We start from the raw sequence: 17,153 nt of genomic DNA, 5'->3' as shown, positions 1-17,153 counted from the left end.
CCAGCAGAGGACTTTGGACAAGTCATCTAGCTGCTCAGGGCCTCAATTTCCTCGTCTATAAAGAGAGGACTGGAAAGGAACACTGTTCTTGGCTGCACATCACTGTCACCTGTGGAGATACTGTGATTTAATTATGCTGGCTCAGGTATGAGTGAGCATCAAGATCTTTAAAATGCGCAGCCAGCCAGGCACAGTGACTCACACCTATAATCCCAACACTTTGGGAAGCCAAGGCAGGCAGATCCCTTGAGGCTAGGAGTTTGAGACCACCTTGGGCAACATGGCAAAATCCCATCTATACAAAAATTAGCTAGGCGTGGTGGCATGCATCTGTAGTCCCAGCTACTACAGGAGGCTGAGGTGGGTGGATCCCTTGAGCCTGGGAGGCAGAGGTTACAGTGAGCCATGATTGCGCCACTGCACTCCAGCCTGGGCAACAGAGCCAGACCCTGTCTCAAAACAAAACAAAACAAAAAATAAAATATCCAGCCAAGGATTGAGAGCTACTAATCAGCTAGAGCTCTTTCTAGCTTAAACAAAAAACTTTAGAAACCTCAAATACCAATAAAACCATCAGCAGACACACCCCACCCCTCCTTAACACAGTGGATCGAGATGAAAAAAAAACAGAACAAATCTCTCAAAGAAAGGGACATCTCCAGCAGCCTGGTCCTGGGAACACCTGAGGCCCACTGAGTCTTCAGCCTATCCAAGTGATCTAGAAGTTTCCATTCATCTCTAAAATTTTGTTGTATTTGAGATTTAGATTTTCTGTTTTCTGTTGCCTGAAACATGAGTCTTACAATAAAATGTCTCAAACATAAATTTTGTGATTATTTAAAATAAGCCATCACCTAACAAACGTGACTACTTGCCATTTTTCTTTCAAAGAATGAAAAACCGCCTAAAACATTTGTTCATTCTCTCACTTTTAGTAGATTACAGATCACAGAAAAACACAAAACAAATCCTAAGAAATGAACAATTAACATTACAAACGTAAAAAGAATTATAATTCCAAGATGCCAAAAATACTGATTACATTTCAATTACCATTTGCGCCTTCATCTGGAAAACACATCCTCCATTGGAAAGTACCCAGCATAACAGCTGCAATGCTTTTTCAACTTTAACAAACACTGGAAAAGTTAGCCAAAACTCTGTGTTGGCTGACATCCAGGGTTTTATTATTATGTACTATTAGTTCATAGTGAGAAACATGGGCTAAAGGAAGGGGGAAAGCAAAGTAATAACAGGGGCTTCATAATCATGTGCAGATGTGAAGGTTTCTGAAGCTTTATCTACCAGAAAATGCCTTCCATATTACTTCTATTACCTGTATCCTTTATTAATTAGATAATTACAAATGTTGTGTTTTTAGGACATTATTTAGAGACTTAACTGTGAAACGGTTTTTCTTATGTCAGTGGCTGGGCTGTGCTGACATTTTAATATTTTTCACATGTAAAGCAACCTGGTGGATTCTCTCCCCTTGGCTCCACGTTTTAGCAAGTGCTGAAAGCAAATCAACACGCAAACAACCAGTCACCTTCCTCCATTATGTCCATTTCTTGTCAAATCAGTTATGGTTCAAAAGCCTCTCACTTTTAGTACTACATGAATGTTGGGGCTGAAATATTTATTTTTTAAGGCTTACACAAACTGCATCGGGTGGTATGGTCTAAGCACAGACTTTTCAATCTCATGAACCAGCAAAGTTTAAACAAACAAAAAAAATGGAGGAAGCAACATTAGTTTCCAACTTTTCCTTAAATAAGGAGAAAAAAATTAAAACAAATACAAAAAAACTACTAATATTGCCACTATTGAGTCAAAATAGGCCAAGAATTATCACTGTCATCTGAGAACAGATCGATCCCTTCCAGAAGTGGGCAAATGTTAACCCTACCTGAAGGCTTCTGCATGGCTGGTGAGGGCCTCAGGACACACCTGTGCTCCACAGGTGCAAAGGGAAAAGCATGAGCCAACAGGAGGTGAAGGGTGAAGTCCCAGCCAGCTGACTAGGAGCAAATGCAAAGTCTCCTGGGTTTCTCCGTCTACATCTACACCTTTACCCTACTTTTAAAGTCCCTTCGTATTATAAAGTTCCTTAACCACTAGGTGAAAACACTGCGGGACCGTTACCCTTTTATTAGGATGAATCAAGTCTCTATGCACCAACACATGTATCTCCAGCACCCAACACAGCATTTGGCATAAAGTACGGGCTCCAGACATATTTATCAAATAAATGACTTTTCTGCTTTCCCCAATATTTAAGGGGTGTTTAAGAAAAATGCATTGACAATGGATGCATGGGAGCTTCTTGAAAAAAAATATAGTATGGATCTAGGTTCAATTTTTCACTTTAGGGATGTATATATAGTTGCGTTATTTAGGAAACACTGATATAGCTTTTACTATGTGCCCAGGTCTAAGCCCTTTACAAATATTAACTCATTTAATCCTCAAAATAACCTTTTTTGAGGTAGGCACTATTATCTTTTTATCACTTTACAAATGAGAAAACTGTGGCATAAAGCGCTCAGGGAATGTTGTCCAAGGTCACAGAGGTAAACGATAGTGAAGCTGGAATTTGAACCCAAGTAGTCTAGCTTCTAAGTCTATCCTGTGCTGTCTAACACAGTCATCACAAGCCATGTGTAGCTATTTAAATTTAATTTAAATTAAATAAAATTTAAAATTCACACCAGCCACATGTGCTCAGAAGCCACACACATGGCCGGCAGCAAGTCTACCGAACATTCCCGTCTTGTGAATGCACTGGTCATGCTCCACCCAGTGGAAGCACTTAGTCTATGCTCTTAGCTGCTACTCTCTTGCTGCCTTTCAGTCTGGGTTTGGCTCCACAGACTGAAGTTCCAACTCCATGCTGTATGTATCCCCAACCTAAGAAATATAACAAAGTTTTTTTCAGATTGGGACTCTCTACTGTGATTCTTTAAGCAAAAGAATACAGAAACAAGTTGACAGGAACTTGATTCTTGATGGACTTCCTCAACAAGAATGCCAACTGGAGGGCTTGTTTTTTTCCTTTGTTATTCTCTACTCTTCTCCTGGCAGGATGTTTGTAGAGATGGTCTCCGGCTGTGAGGTTACTGGCGCACACTTGCACCTGTCCTGCTGTGCAGAGCTGGAACCCTGTTTTTATGGATTTTGTAAGCAGAGTTCAGCCAGAGGGTAGCCCTTCCCAAAATTCAGTTCCCAAAATATTTGCAGATATTTTTCAAAACATAGGAAGTATACCACACAATGTTCTTTCTGTAACAAAAGGTACTGAGGTTTTTGGTGGCATCAAGGCAGTCTTTAAATTCTATGGCTTGGAGGACTGAGGGTGAGCTGTCCCTGGGGAGTTACGATTTCTGCAATTCCCAAAAAAGTTAGTTTTGCCTTTGAGGAAAGGCAGTTGTTCAAAGTTTAAAAACCTAAGAAGGTTAACACACCAAGTCACTGTTCAGTAACATGTGAATTCAAATGTTTCACCAAACATAGGTAAAGTATGGTAGAAGAAAGGAAATTCCTGGCATCAAGAGGCAGATCAATAAAGAGGTGACTCCCTGGTGGTTAGAGTGAGTCTCAAAGGAAGAAGGAAGAAAGTACTCAAGTGAGCTTAGTGGAAAACTTGAAAAAAACCAAAAAACTAATTCATGGTTTTTGCAGTGGCTAAATGTTCCAGTTATAAAATTGTTCCTGCATTTGTTAAATGAAGCCAATATAATACCTGTAACAAAATGTATTAATTCCTTCTCTTCTTTTAAGCCAGGCATTTTTCATGATGCTCATTTTCAGAGAACCCAAGACAGTTCCTCACTGCAACTCTAGGGTTTCTCTGGTCTTACGGTAAAAAAGAAGGAAGCCAGGTGTGCTGGTTTCCTGGTGGGGGCCCCAGACCAACAGCCAGAAGCAGATTTCGTATCTTCATGTTCCATGCTGTCTGTTTATCTCCATTTACAATTTCCTGAGCAACGACTTCCATAAACATATGCGCATATCATCATATGTAATAGCTGTATGGTGTTCTACAATATGGATGTACCAAAATTTATTTAACCAAGTCCCTATTACAGGACACATAGTTGTTCACTATTCTCAATACTTCCATGAGCACAGTAATATCATTATAACCTTGTCCAATTATCTTCATAGGATAAATTTTCTAGAAGGAAACCAACTGCTCTACAGAAATGGACCCTCCCATCAACCTTGTACAGAGGGCCTGTTTCCTTCTACCTTAATCAGCGTCAAGTATTAAGTTTCTAAGATCACTGCAGGTCTCCAAAGTGATAGCTTGTTATTATCATTTGCAAGTCTGCTTACTAGTGATGATGGATATGTTTTCATATAAGTTGATCATTTATTTGGGTAAGTTACTAACATTCTGTGCTTCTGTCTACGTATCTGTTAAACAGAAAAATAACTGAACTTACATCTAGAACTGTTTTGATGACTAAATAAGTTAATACATGTGAAATGCTTCTAATAATATGTAGAAGATAAAAGTATTCCAAAAAAAATGTTAGCTGTTACTGTTATTCATACTTTTTTTTTTTTTTTTTTTTAAGACACGGAGTATCACTCTGTCGCCCAGGCTGGAGTGCAGTGGCGCAATCTCGGCTCACTGCAACCTCCGCCTCCTGGGTTCTAGCAATTCTCCAGCCTCAGCCTCCCGAGTAGCTGGGATTACAGGCGCCCGCCAACATGCCTGGCTAATTTTTTGTATTTTAGTAGAGACGGGGTTTCACTGTGTTGCCCAGGCTGGTCTCGAACTCCTGAGCTTAGGCAATCCACCCTGCCTCAGCCTCCCAAAGTTCTAGGATTACAGGTGTGAGTCATCGTGCCTGGCCTATTTATACTTTTTTTTAACATATTTCTGATATGGGGAGTAAATCTTCCTTTGGGAACAACAGAGTTCCCATAGATGGTTACTTTTTGGGAATAGCACAGATGAAATAATTATCACTGGGTAACAAAGAACTACTGTATAAGCCCATGTGTACTTCTAGAAGGGGACCATCCTCCCTTCATTTAGTTAAAATGTCTACTAGACCAAGGCTATTTTTCTTTAATATGAATTAAGAAACTGCACCTGTTAATAAAAAAATTAACTATATTCTTTGATTTACTTGCTTTTTAATAAAGTAATTATGGTTTTCCCAGAATTTTTAAACAAAATTATACAACCAAAAAAATCCCCAAAAGAGGTTATTGGTTAAATAAATCACCATACATATAATATGTAGACTCTCATGCATCAAATAAAAACAATGATATTTTATGTCTACATAAAACATGGAATAATGCTCAGAGGAAATAAAGGTAAAAACACATGCAAATTATGATTCTAATTTTGTTTTAAAACATACATATATCTGAAACAATATACACCAAAATGTTAAAAGTATTTAGCACTGGGTGGTGGGATTAAAGGCAATTTAAATTTTCTTATTTTTCTTAAGTGTATTTTCCTTAATTTCTACAGAGAACACTTTATTTTTGAAATGAAACATCTTAAGTATTTGTACAGGTAGGATTCCAATGTAGTCTGCAGTTTCCTGGACAACGCAGAACTGTCTAGCAAGACAGAGCCCTCTTGGACAACAAGGTTCTCCTAATATGATTTAAACAGATTTGAGGGGGTGGCATCACATAAGGGTTCCTTGAGCTCTGAACCTGGGATTCCTGCCTCTTCATCTTCCCAGAGTGGGCAAAGCCGAGTTGATTTTGTCTGTCCCCTGCTTACCACCCGTCAGTGATGTACAACGCTTTCAAAACAATGCTCCAAATGTATGGTCCCTGCTGTCCTCCAGACCAACCTCTGCCACACACCTGCAACCTCCTATGATTCTCAGAATTGCCTCTGAGATGCCCTCTCTACACTCGCCTCAAGCTCACCTCCTCCAGGGGGTCTTCATTGTACCTTCTGTGCCCACACCTGTCACAGCATTCCACACACTGCACTACACCTGTCAGCCCACTTCTGCCCCTGTTCTTGACTGTGAGCAGGCTGGATGAGATATAAAGAACGGTGCAATTGGCAGACAAGGGAAGACAGAACTTTTTTCAGGACATTTTTTTTTTTTTAAAAAAAAACAGCTTTATTCAGGTATAACTGATATACAATGTGCATATTACACAATTTGGCAAGTTTTGACCTATGTATATACCTGTGAAACCATCATTGCCATCAACAAAATGAGCATACCCATCACTCCTAAGTTTCCCATGCCTCTTTGGAGTCCATGCCTCCTGGCCCATCCTCACTTACCCTTATTCTCCACCTCCAGACGACCATGGATCTGCTTTCTGTCGCTAGAGATTAGTTTGTAATTTCTATATAAATGGAATCATACAGTTAGAACTCTTTTTTTGTCTGGCTGCTTACCCAGTATAATTATTCTCAGATTCACTGATGTTGCTACATATACCAATAGTTTGTTTTTACTGCTGAATAGTATACCATTAAATGGCTACAACAGTTTGTTTATCCATTCACCCATGATGGACATGTAGGTTGTTTCCAGTTTGGGGTTACTACAAATAAAGCTGCTATAAACATTTGTGTATTTTTTTTGTACGAATATGTGTTTTCATTTCATTCCTAGGTATCTCTAGTTAAATACCTCGGAATTGAATGTCTGGGTAATATCACAGGTCATACTGTAATTTGTTAAAAAAACTGCAAGTTGTTTAAAACAATGAGCAGACAAGGACTCAAATGCACCAGAGGAATATCCTCTTAAAAGATAAGTCCTTTTTAAAAGGGATGATGAGTCACTTTATAATGTGAATAATCATCCTCTGTAATTTTTAAAATATTCACATTTTAAATTTCTCAAGTAAGTCATGTCTGTATTAATTACAATTATGTAAAAACTTGCACTCTGTCTGCTGTCCAATTCCTACACCGTACCTCATTCTTTTCAGGATTTGGGTAGCACCATTAATTGCATTTTTCTCTGTACTCTCTACAGTGGCATTTATGAGAAAGAGCATGACACTGTGATTATCTTCAAGTGTTGAAGGAGGACCCTTTCTTTGCATGTGTTCCAAGTAAAGAGAGTAACCCACTCACGTGACTTTGGGGAAGTTATATTAACTTCTGTTGTCTTTGATAGACACCCTATCATCACTCACATTTGAATGTAAGGTATCAGGGGTCTCCAGTTTAAGAGGCTATTAAGTAATACAACATGGGCTACACAAAGAAAAGCAATTTCACCTGCAAATATCTATGTTGGCACTTAGTCTTGGACCCTCTTCTTCAATTTTAACCTAAATTCAGAACACATAAAAATAAGGCCAGGTGTGGTGGCTCATGCCTGTAATCCCAACACTTTGGGAGGCCAAGGCAGGTGGATAACTTGAGGCAAGGAGTTCAAGACTAGCCGGGCCAACATGTCAAAACCTTGTCTCTACTAAAAATACAAAAATTAGCCAGGCGTGGTGATACACACCTGTAGTCCCAGTTACTCTGCTGAGGCACAAGAATCACTTGAATCTGGGAGGGGGAGGTTGCAGTGAGCTGAGATCACGCCACTGCACTCCAGTCTGCGTGACAAGAGTTAGACTGTCTCCCCCAACCCCCCAAAAAAGAAAACACAAAACACACAATTTATAGAATATATATGTAAGAGCAACCCAGAACACAGAAGGAAATTATAAGAAAACTAGAAACATCAAGATATGCTCCTTAGGCCGGGTGCGGTGGTTCATGCCTGTAATTCCAACACTTTGGGAGGCTGAGGTGGGAGGATTACTGAAGCCCAGGAGTTTGAGACCAGCCTGGGCAACATGGCGAAACCCCATCTCTACAAAACATGCAAAAATCAGCCAGGCATGGTGGTGTGTGCCTGTGGTCCCAGATACGCAGCAGGCTGAGGTGGGAGAATCCCTTGAACCCAGGAAGCGGAGGTTGCAGTGAGCTCTGATTGTGCCACTGCACTTCAGTCTGGGCAATAGAGTGAGACCCTGTCTCAAAAAAAAAAAAAAAAAAAAAAGATATGTTATTTAGTTCTATCTAAACTTTAAAAAAGGATTAGATTTTCTGATGGACACTGTATTCAATATTCTGCAGACATATTAAACTGCACAACAATTTTCTAAACACAGTTTTTAAAGGATCTGAGTGTAATAGCATAACAGAGCTAAACAGAGTCTGATAGCTTTTATTATTTCTATTAACTTTTCTGCTCTAGTTTATACAAGCCAATAAATCTCATTCTATTCCACATGAAAGGAAATCCACTCAGTAGTCAATTACATTTCTACATCAGGCTGGGGGTATCTTTGCTTGAGACATAAGAGACGTGTCCATGTGTCCTCAGCATGAAGACTGCTGTAACTTACATAAATGTTCCAGAAGCAAACCTTTTCAGTAAAAACCAAACCCCATATAAAATGTTACTAGCTTGCCTAAGTTCGAAGGCATCTACCACAGCAGTCAGTCAGTTGGTGCAAAGGGCAGTAGGTCCACCACCTGCAGTGAGGTCACAGGAATGACACAGCCTTTGAAAAAGGTGTTAAGTAAAACTCCTCAGACCCAGCAAATCCACTTTCAGGGATCTAGGGGAAAAGGCAACTTCAGATAAAAATATGAATGCAGTGATGCTCATCACTGTGCTTTTCTATAGTAGCAAAAAAAAAAAAAAACAAAAAAACAACTGCAGACAAACTAAATGTCCAGTAATAGGGCACACCTACTTTAGAAATAGGGTACACCTACTTTATACAGCCATAAAAAGTGTTTTCAAAACAATTTTTTAGCATGAATACAACCCATAAAAACAAAGGGTATAAAAATGTGAGTGTATATGTGAGCGCAAACCGTAAACTGGACCAGAATTATAGCATGGCTTAGCTCTAGGATTACAGGAATATTCTTTAATGTATTACTCTCATATTCAGAAGTTATTTTTTAAATTATGGTATATCCTAAAAATAATTATCTTGAGGTCTCTTGTTAAAAGCTCTTAAAATACCACATTATTTCTCTGGAAACATCTAAAGAACAAAATTTGTTTACCAGCCATGCTGCCTATTTCTTTAAGGGCCTATTTGCAAAGCCTAATAGAAAAATTTGGATTTAAAAAAGAGAGAAACAAACTGGGTGCAGTGGCTCATGACTGTAATCCCAGCACTTTGGGAGGCAAGGTGGAGGACTGCCTGAGCCTAGAAGTTCAAGACCAGCCTGGGCAACACGGCGAGACCTCGTCTCTACCAAAAAATAAAAAGAAAAGAAAAGTTAGCTAGGTATGGCAGCATGCATCTGTGGTCCCAGCCACACCAAGAGGCTGAGGCAGAAGGACTGCTTGAGCCAAGGAGGTTGAGACTGCAGTGAAGTGTGTTTGCACCACTGCACTCCAGCCTGGGTGACAGCCTTGTCTCCAAAAAAAAAAGAGAGAGAAATTAGAAGTAAATTACTTAAAAATGATTACTTGAACCACAGAATTTAAATGTTTATGATTACAAAGCATTTAAGATATGATATTCAAAAGTTTACTTTAAATGGCAGCTCTTCAGGAACATATTTACTCCAAGAAGTTATTCTTACATAAGATGACCAAGAATTTCTGATCAGTCCTTCATCAAGAATGTCAACCACAACAGCTCAAATCCTATTATCTAGTTGGTAATGAAATTTTTTTCTACCTAAGTGTAGAATGGTCGAAAGAGAAAATGTGACCTTCAATCCTTGAGTATGGTTTTGGAGACTTTTCACAATCTATTACTATGTGAAAAAGAAGGTAAATCCTCACAGTGACAGGCTATGATGCCAGGGGAATCTTCCTGTCGGTTAAGTTTATTAACAGTTTTTCTGGACCCCAAAATTTACAAAGTCTAACCTTGACCTTAGTAAGGTCCCTTAGAGTTTCTTAACCAAATTATTGCCACAACTTCCTGACTGGTTTCCCTGCTCTGAATTTTGCCCAACTGAAATCCATCCTCTTCCATGCCAGAGCTCAAACGAGCTTTGAAGAACACACAAGCTTGACTAAAATGTTTCACCACCCTCCTCACTTGTCTTTTGGGTAAAACCTCCTCTCAAGGCATGCAAGAGTTTTTGCCTGGCCTCAGCTCCCTTCACTCTTCAACACAGCCCTCTTTATTCCAGCCACAGCAGAAGAGGTCCTCAAAACACACTGTTTTCTCTCTCCCTGGCTTTCTGCCTGCTGTTCCCCTGCGTGGGACTCTCCCACACCTTAATCTTTCCAACTAACACTAATCATTTTTCAAGAGTCACCTCCAGCCTCATCCTTCTTCACTAAGCTGTCCCCATCCCTCCCATCTGGCATCTACCTGAATAAGATGCCTATTGACCAGACTGAAGCCCAAGCCCATCTTTGCTACTAAGGTGGTTATCCAACTTAATACAATAAAGCATGTCCGCTACTAAGGGGAAATTCAGGAACAGCAGATTAATAAGATAGCCAATTACTTCAAAGTGCTTATTCCCAATCAGAAATTTCTGGAGAATCACATCACCATTTTCAGTGATTTCAAGATTGTTCAAATTTCCTAGTAAATATTTTCCTATTTTGTGGACCCCATCTGAATTAAAGTGCCACCAGAGGGGATCCCTTAAATACTTTCTGAATTTAGAAATCTGTTTATAAAATCTTCATAAACAGGCCAGGCACTGTGGCTCTTGCCTGTACTCCTAGCACTTTGGGAGGTCGAAGCGAGCGGATCACCTGAGGTCAGGAGTTCAAGACCAGCCTGGCCAACATGGTGAAACCCTGTCTCTACTAAAAATACAAAAGTTAGCAGGGCATGGTGGCACGCAGCTGTAATCCCAGCTACTCAGGAGGCTGAAAGAAGAGAATCGCTTGAACCTGGGAGGCGGAGGTTGCAGTGAGCTGAGATTGCACTCCAGCCTGGGTGACAAGTGCAACTCCGCCTCACAAAAAAAAAAAAAAAAATTCATAAACTTGTTTTCCATTCTCTGTCATCACTCCAGCAAAACTGCACAGATTTTTGGGGTGTTCTGTGAGACCAGCAAGAATGGTTAATGCCGAGGTTCTCTCATGTTCTTATAGAAACACAGCTAGAATTACAAACATTTTAGGCTCATAGGTCTTCTCGTTGATCCAGAAAAATCCAACTGATAAAAACCACATTAGGAAGATTATATCAAAGTAAAGGACATCTTCTATAAATAACCTACATTCTCAGGAGTGTTTTCCAAAACATTCCCAATTAGAGATTGCTAAATGTATGCACGCTCTTTGTAAAAGCTCTTAATCATCTGCAACTGTCATCAGCTCTCAAATCAGAATTGTGATTTTTGGGTTTTTTTTGAGACAGGGTGCCCTCTCTCTGTCAGCCTGGCTGGAGTGCAGTGGCACGATCTCAGCTCACTGCAACCTCCACCTCCCAGGTTCAAGTGATTCTCATGCCTCAGCCTTCCAAGAACAGAGATTACAGATGCACACCACCACGCCTGGCTAATTTTTGTATTTTTAGTAAGACGGGGTTTCACCATGTTGGCCAGGCTGGTCTCAAACTCCTGGCCTTAAGTGATCCACCCACTTCAGCCTCCCAAAGTGCTGGGATTACAGGTGTGAGCCACCACATCCGGCTTAGAATTATGATTCTAAAAATCAGCAACTTGCAACTGCATATTGCCATATTTTTTCAAGGTACTTTCAGTTATACCATTTACTATTTTTTTTTTTTTTGAGACAGGGTCTCACTCTGTTGCCCAGGTTGGAGCACAGTGGCATGATCATGGCTCACTATAGCCTCAACTTCCTGGGCTCAAGTGATCCTCCTGCCTCTACCTCCTGAGTAGGTGGGACTGTAGGCACACACCACCATGCCTGGTTTTTTTTTTTTTTTTTTTTTTTTAAATACAGACCAGGTTTTGCCTAGGCTAGTCTTGAACTCCTGAGCTCAAGTGATCCTTCCACCTCAGCCTCCCCAAGTGCTGGGATTACAGGCATGAGCTACCATGTCTGGCCAATTACAGCATTTTATTTGGTCCCATTTTTGTCATTCATTTCTTAATGTCAAATCCCAGCATTAAAAGTTATTTTTCTTAATTTTCTATTTCTAGAAAATTAAATTGTTATTTTAGTCTCTGATAATAACTGTACTCTTAATTTTTGCCATGGCACTTATTGTATACAAGCAAGTTTATTCAGATTAGTCTCTTTACAAAGCGAGCCTTTGTAAGATTAATAACTTCATTATAATTGAAAGTCAAAAAATAATTCACAGAAGAGTGTGAAAAATTCTGTTATTTTTTTTCCCTACACAAAATGTACCATCTGGAGTTATTCTGCAGCCAAAAATACATCAGGAGATAAGACTTTTTTTATGGTGAAGGGAGGAGGGGAAACTAAATCACAAAGAAGCCACCACGATGAGATAATAATGCACAACACTGAAATCTGAGAAAAAGGGTCCAAGAGATCATTCTCAAAGCTTACACTTAGCCTGTGTGATCACACAGGACCTGTGACACACCACCTTTTATAATGAAGCAAGAAATAGCACTCACTGAATGAAACTAGAGGAGAATTCAACACACTGCCAAAAATAAAAAATAAAAAGAAGAGGATTTTAGGAAGAAGACTACAGTATGAGTCAGACATCACGGCAGTCCAAGGTGAAAACAGAGAGTCACTGACTCTCAGGGGTGCAAGGGACCTCCGAAAGGTCCTTGGTCTCGTCTTACCACTGGCTGCCTTTAATTGCAAGGAAATCACTTTCCCGCCCTAGTCCTCAGTTTCCTCATTTGAAAATTGAGGCATGACGGTAAGGCCAGTGGGTCTCAAACTTGGATGGTCACCAAAATCACCTAGGAATTTCAAAATACAGACTCCTGGACCTAGTGACTAGAAATTCTTATTCATAAAGGATATGATGGGCCGGGCGCAGTGACTCACGCCTGTAATCCCAGCACTTTGGGAGGCTGAGGTGGGCGGATCATGAGGTCAAGAGATCAAGACCATCCTGGCCAACACAGTGAAACCCCGTCTCTACCAAAAATACAAAAAATTAGCCGGGTGTGGTGGCAGGCGCCTATAGTCCCAGCTACTTGGGAGGCTGAGGCAGGAGAATGGCGTGAACCTGGGAGGCGGAGCTTGCAGTGAGCTGAGATCGTGCCACTGCACTCCAGCCTGGGTGACAGAGCAAGACTCCGTCTCAAAAAAAAAAAAAAAGACACAGGAGGAGACCATCAAGTGAATTAATATCACTATATTAAAAGCCAATTTAAGAATGTGAAATTCTGACCAACTTTTGACTTTGAGTATTTCATAAAAGATACTGCGACATCCTAATGATACATGACTTCACTGATTCATTTATTCATTTATTGTAACACTAGAAAAGCAATGGTACTCTAGTTTAGTGGGTAGACTGACATTAATAATTATTAATGAAGAAATGTGACATTAGATAATATTGTGAAGGAAAAGTATGCAGCTTTGTGAACACATGTCTGAGGAATTGTACCTAGGCTGAAAATCAGGGAAGGCTTCTCAGAGAAAATGATGTTGGTATTTCTTAAGTTGTGCAAATATGCAAAATAGATCTACATTTATTGAATCATCATTACTCTGCACTGCGATTCATTGTACAGTAGTAGTATGTCATGCATATAGTAAATGCAAACAAGTACACATCAAAGGTGCGCAGTAATTAGTCCTGAGAATAATGTTTTCCATTAATATTATATTGCTTAATTTCATTACGTGAAAACTTTTTCTGATAATAGACAAAATTAAATGTTGGAAACCAAGTAATCTATTTAATTTCAAAGGGAAAAATTGTGCTGATTTTTGAAAAAGTTAAAAAGCAGCAAAAAAAAAAAAAAAAAAAAGAAATCCTAATGAGGAAATCAGAAAAAGCTATAGAAAAACAAATTTTATACATGAACAATATAAACTGTGTATATTACCTAATACCAAAGTAAACCAGATTCAGAATTGATGGTTATGTAAGAACTAGCTCATATAAAAATAAGATGACATTATTATATTGCTAGCCTCAAAAACTGGTCCTCAGCGCCGTTTGATAAATGATCTCACGTAAATGACTCAGAGCAAAAGTACCAACACTTATGTTTGCTTGTTACAAAGCAAAAGCAGTTTTTTCAATACAAGCATCAGAAGACCCCGGCAAGGCTCTTGCCACCACACCTGGCCTCCTCCTGTGTCTTCTAAATCAACATCAAAATCTAAATTATCATCCCTTTCTTCATTTCTTCTGCAGCTTCTTCTATGGTTAGAACTTAGATTTTCTTTTTTTTTTTTTAATTTATTATTTTTTTTTAATTGATCATTCTTGGGTGTTTCTCGCAGAGGGGGATTTGGCAGGGTCATAGGACAATAGTGGAGGGAAGGTCAGCAGATAAACAAGTGAAAAAAGGTCTCTGGTTTTCCTAGGCAGAGGACCCTGCTGCCTTCCACAGTATTTGTGTCCCTGGGTACTTGAGATTAGGGAGTGGTGATGACTCTTAACGAGCATGCTGCCTTCAAGCATCTGTTTAACAAAGCACATCTTGCACCGCCCTTAATCCATTGACCCCTGAGTGGACACAGCACATGGTTCAGAGAGCACAGGGTTGGGGGTAAGGTCACAGATCAACAGGATCCCAAGGCAGAAGAATTTTTCTTAGTACAGAACAAAATGAAAAGTCTCCCATGTCTACTTCTTTCTACACAGACACGGCAACCATCCGATTTCTCAGTCTTTTCCCCACCTTTCCCCCCTTTCTATTCCACAAAACCGCCATTGTCATCCTGGCCCGTTCTCAATGAGCTGTTGGGTACACCTCCCAGACAGGGTGGTGGCCGGGCAGAGGGGCTCCTCACTTCCCAGCAGGGGCGGCCGGGCAGAGGCGCCCCTCACCTCCCAGACGGGGCGGCTGGCCGGGCGTGGGGCTGACCCCCCCACCTCCCTCCCGGACAGGGTGGCTGGCCGGGCAGAGGGGCTCCTCACTTCCCAGTAGGGGCGGCCGGGCAGAGGCGCCCCTCACCTCCGGGACGGGGCGGCTGCCGGGCGGAGAGGCTCCTCACTTCTCAGACGGGGTGGTTGCCAGGCAGAGGGTCTCCTCACTTCTCAGACGGGGCGGCCGGGCAGAGACGCTCCTCACCTCCCAGACGGGTCGCGGCCGGGCAGAGGCGCTCCTCACATCCCAGACAGGGCGGCGGGGCAGAGGCGCTCCCCACATCTCAGACGACGGGCGGCCGGGCAGAGACGCTCCTCACTTCCTAGATGTGATGGCGGCCGGGAAGAGGCGCTCCTCACTTCCTAGATGGGATGGCGGCCGGGCAGAGACGCTCCTCACTTTCCAGACTGGGCAGCCAGGCAGAGGGGCTCCTCACATCCCAGACGATGGGCGACCAGGCAGAGACGCTCCTCGCTTCCCAGATGGGGTGGCGGCCGGGCAGAGGCTGCAATCTCGGCACTTTGGGAGGCCAAGGCAGGCGGCTGGGAGGTGGAGGTTGTAGCCAGCCGAGATCACGCCACTGCACTCCAGCCTGGGCACCATTGAGCACTGAGTGAACGAGACTCCGTCTGCAATCCCGGCACCTTGGGAGGCCGAGGCTGGCAGATCACTCACGGTTAGGAGCTGGAGACCAGCCCGGCCAACACAGTGAAACCCTGTCTCCACCAAAAAAATACGAAAACCAGTCAGGCGTGGCGGCGCGTGCCTGCAATTGCAGGCACTCGGCAGGCTGAGGCAGGAGAATCAGGCAGGGAGGTTGCAGTGAGCCGAGATGGGAGCAGTACAGTCCAGCTTCGGCTTGGCATCAGAGGGAGACCATGGAAAGAGAGGGAGAGGGAGACCGAGAGGGAGACGGAGAGGGAGACGGAGGGAGAGGGAGAGGGAGAGGGAGAGGCGATTGTTTTCAATATTTTATTTTTTCTGGTTCCTTACTGAACGGAATAACAATGTCTTCTTTCTTTCCACATTCTGTGCAAACTTCAAGTTCATAGGCGCATGGTCTACACACTGTGTGATAAGAATCCTTCACTGTCTTTCATAAACATTTAACACATTTTTTAGGTTTGATAATGGTTTGTATTTTTTGTATTTTACACGACACTCAAGAACTTCTTTATAGCGCTGACATACTATATCAGGAAGTTTTGCATTAATTTTCTTGGTCTGAACACTCTTATCAAACTTGTCATTTTTGAAGCTAAACGTATTCTGGTGCTTGAGGCCTGGAATGAGCCACATTGCGCCTTTCTGGGAGCTTGTCTCCGACACAACCACCCCACGCCGGGTACAGGCAAAAGGATGAAGGGAAAACCAACGAACTACTCCCAGGAGTTAACACTTCTCTACTTGTCCTTTGAAATTCTATCCTATAAAAGGCCTCAAACATCCATAAGCATAGAGGAATAGTGGCACCCTGAAGAGTTACCAGGATGGCAACTACAGAAGACACTTGTCATCAACGCTGGCTTTCCTATTATTCCTCTTAGCATTCTTTTTCGGCTTTCCAGCTTCCCATATTCCTGTTCTTAGGAGAAGTTAACATTTCCTACCTTGCTCTCTGAGCTTGAGGAAAGAGAATATAGAAAATGGCAAAATAAAAGTGTGAAATGTAATTAAAAATAGCAGATGAGTACTAACAAAAAGTCTAAAATTTACTGACAATGGGAAAGGAAGGAGAGCAGGCCTCTTCTGGCAGTCAAGAGCAGGACTGAAGTGAATGAGAGGAAAATAAACACAATTCCCAAGCATATAAAAGTCCTAGGAGGGCCCCGATAATTTATTTCTCAGAGAAAGGCAGTTAATACCGTGCAGTTATCACTTGCCAACAGACATATTTGGTTTTGTTTTGTTGTTGAGACAGGGTCTCACTCTGTCCCCCAGGATGGAGTGCAGTGGTGCAATCACAGCTCACTGCAACCTCTGCCTCCTGAGCTCAAGTAATCCTCCAACCTCAGCCTCCCAAGGCACAGGCACATACCACCATGCCCAGCCAATTTTTGTATTTTTTGCAGAGACAGAGTTTCACCATGTTTCCCAGGCTGGTCTCGAACCCCTGGGCTCAGGTGATCTGACTGCCTCAGCCCCCCAAAGTGCTAGAATTACAGGCATGAGCTACCATGCCCAGCCCCAATACAGATATTTGGATACAACCCCGTCAAGAACACTAACCTGA

The 17,153-nt window shown here is 41.7% G+C and overlaps 1 protein-coding gene and 1 pseudogene across 11 annotated transcripts in view, besides 3 other annotated features; both read right to left on the bottom strand.

The window, feature by feature from the left end:
• The window catches only part of C9orf85P1 (C9orf85 pseudogene 1), a 36,004-nt pseudogene extending 19,100 nt beyond the window's left edge, over window positions 1-16,904 (bottom strand).
• SPTBN1 (spectrin beta, non-erythrocytic 1) overlaps window positions 1-17,153 on the bottom strand; it is a 215,120-nt gene that overhangs the window by 170,427 nt on the left and 27,540 nt on the right. The window lies entirely within an intron of this gene.
• Window positions 2,668-2,852: a silencer, noted in NCBI's record as "fragment chr2:54725305-54725489 (GRCh37/hg19 assembly coordinates)". NCBI's record gives its function as "represses an EF-1alpha promoter that drives an FKBP-Casp9 reporter gene in an ReSE screen in K562 erythroleukemia cells {active_cell/tissue: K562}" and the evidence as "EXISTENCE:reporter gene assay evidence [ECO:0000049][PMID:32094911]".
• Window positions 3,313-3,852: an enhancer, noted in NCBI's record as "NANOG hESC enhancer chr2:54724305-54724844 (GRCh37/hg19 assembly coordinates)". NCBI's record gives its function as "activates a minimal SCP1, AML or CMV promoter by ChIP-STARR-seq in naive H9 embryonic stem cells {active_cell/tissue: H9 hESC(naive)}" and the evidence as "EXISTENCE:reporter gene assay evidence [ECO:0000049][PMID:30033119]".
• Window positions 16,112-16,622: an enhancer, noted in NCBI's record as "NANOG hESC enhancer chr2:54711535-54712045 (GRCh37/hg19 assembly coordinates)". NCBI's record gives its function as "activates a minimal SCP1, AML or CMV promoter by ChIP-STARR-seq in naive H9 embryonic stem cells {active_cell/tissue: H9 hESC(naive)}" and the evidence as "EXISTENCE:reporter gene assay evidence [ECO:0000049][PMID:30033119]".

This window comes from Homo sapiens, chromosome 2, assembly GCF_000001405.40.
Source record: "Homo sapiens chromosome 2, GRCh38.p14 Primary Assembly".
NCBI lineage: Eukaryota > Metazoa > Chordata > Mammalia > Primates > Hominidae > Homo > Homo sapiens.
This window is presented reverse-complemented; position numbering and strand designations above follow the sequence as displayed.